Source organism: Homo sapiens (assembly GCF_000001405.40).
Source record: "Homo sapiens chromosome 14 unlocalized genomic scaffold, GRCh38.p14 Primary Assembly HSCHR14_CTG2_UNLOCALIZED".
NCBI classification, from domain to species: domain Eukaryota; kingdom Metazoa; phylum Chordata; class Mammalia; order Primates; family Hominidae; genus Homo; species Homo sapiens.
The window spans coordinates 51346-53790 of record NT_167219.1 but is presented as its reverse complement, the minus strand read 5'-3'; positions in this window follow the sequence as shown (position 1 = coordinate 53790).

Genomic DNA, 2445 nt, shown 5'->3' with positions numbered 1-2445 from the left:
ACGGCGCCCCGGCGACCTGGGGACCCCGGCTCCAGCCACACTACGGAATCCCTTGGGACGCGGGTGGTGCAAGCACACCTTGGCCCTGTGGCCTCGCTTGAGCGGGCCCAGGCTGTCCCACCGTGCAAGGGCCCGGCAGGCCGTCACGCTGTGGGTCCTGGTCCTCCTGGCTTTTGCCCGGGTGCGGAGGCCAACGAGGAGCCTGAGGATGGGAGAGCGCCCATTTCAGAGGAGCCAGGGCAGCGTAGGCAAAATCCCCGCGTGCCGGGGAAGGTTGCAAGATCCCCTCTGCCGGAGCGCCCTGGCAGGGCTGGAGTACGTGGACCGCCCTCGCTCCCTGGCTCACGAAATTCCCTGTGGGAGAGCCCCAGGCATGCAGGGCACGTGGGATTCGGGAAGCCCCATTCCCCAAGCGCCAGTGTGGGGGAAGGCGACCCACGAGGGAGCAGGGTGACACCCGCCGGGGGCCTCGTTGCACAGGCCGCCTGCCTGCGTGAGTGCCCTGCCAGTCTGTCCCGGGTGCCTGTCCCTTCCATTCTGAAACCAGATCTGAATTCTGGACTCCGGGTGGCCCGTCTCTCTGGCCAGCTCTTCCCTGGGAGTGATGCCTGGGGAGCGATCCTTCTCAAAGGATCGGAGGAGCAGGGCGGTCTGGGATCCGGTTACTGCGGTCCGCTTTCGCCTGCCTTCCTGCGGGCCGTGTCTCCCGGGCCAGGGCCGAGATTCCTGCCGGTGCTGCCTCAGCTGGCCTGACCTCTCATTCTGAAATCGAATCCGCACCCTGGGCTCCAGAATGCTGATGGCCTGGGCCAACCTTTCTCGGACGGCGATGCCCGGGTACGGGTTCTGCTCAAAGCAAGCTCGCAGGGCCTCACTTTGACTCGGGGTCCAAACGAGTCTCTTTCACTGTCCATGTCCCTGGGCTTCCAAGAGGAGTGTGCCGTCCGAAGGTGTCGTGAGGGCCATCGCAGGGAGCCCCGGCCAGAATTTCATGGAAGGACACGGGCAGAGAGAGGCCGGCGGGCTCCCGTGCACCTCAGCCGGCATGTGCACTGTCAGGTGGAGCCAGGAGGCCTACCCGGACAGCCAGCCAGCGGCTCCTATAAAGGCCCACAGGCAGGCAGGCTCCACCCCTTCATGAATGGCGGTGAGCCCTGGGACAGCCTGCCCCGCCCTGGAAGGGTCCCAGGGCGTCGAGGCCTGCGGCCGGGGGCTGGTGGTGTGGGGAGGAGGGCGTGGTGAGGTTGGTGGTGGGGCCAGAGAGACGAAGAGGAAGGGGGCGAGGGGGAAGGGGTGAGGGGTGTGCGTTTCGGGAGCTGGCTCTTCGGACCTCTCCAGGAATCCCGTGGGAACTGGAAGCCGCTCTCTGGGCTCACACGGATCTTCAGCAGGGAGAAACCGGCTAGAGAGGGTGGAGGGGAGTGTGGAACTGAAACTCCGTGGGAGTATTGATAGTTCCAGGCCCTCTCTCCGTGAAGGAGGCAATGCCTGAAGGTTTCGCTATTGCCGGGACAGTCTCACACATGCAGGCTTGTGGCTCTCGTTCATTTCCATGTAGGAGACCAGAGTGAGACCCCAGAGAGAAGATGCCTCCCCGGCGTGATGGCCTGACGATGGATTCCCGTGTGCGCCATCATGGGGAGTATTCAGTGTGGCCGGTTTGGAAACTGGCAAGGAGAGCGAAGGCACCATGCCGGTCTTCCATCTTTCCCTGCATGTTTGCTGGTGCCCGCAGAGCTCCAGGAGCAAACAGTGAGCATGACACATCTCTGAACTGATCAACAAAGTGATGTAACACTTGTCTAGGCTCTGCCTACAAGGGCTTTGTGACATATCTCTGCACTGATCACCCAGGTGATGGGACTTTTGTGTAGTCTCTGCCTATGGGGGCATTGTGACATATCTCTACACTGATCACCCAGGTGATGTAACTCTTGTGTTGGATCTGCCTATGGGGGCATTGTGACATATTTCTGCACTGATCACCCAAGTGATGAGACACTTTTCTAGGCTCTGTGTATGGGGGCTTTGTGGCATAGCTCTGCACTGATCACCCAGGTGATGTAACGCTTGACTAGGCTCTGCCTACAGGGTATAGTGACATATCACCGCTTTAATCACCGAGGTGATGTAACTCTTGTCCAGGCTCTGCCTATAGGGGGCCTTGTGACATAACTCTGCACTGATCATCTACGTGATGGGACCCTTCTCTAGGCTCTGCTTACTGGGGTCATTGTCATAAATTTCTGCACTGATCACTCAGGTGATGGAATCATGTCTTGGATTTGCCTATGGGGGCTCTGTGACATATCTCTGCACTGATCATCCAGGTGATGTAACTCTGGTCTAAGCTCTGCCTTAAGGGGCATTGTGACAGATCTCTGCACTGATCACTCAGGTGATGTGACAATTGTCTAGGCTCTGCTTAAAGGGGAATGGTCACAT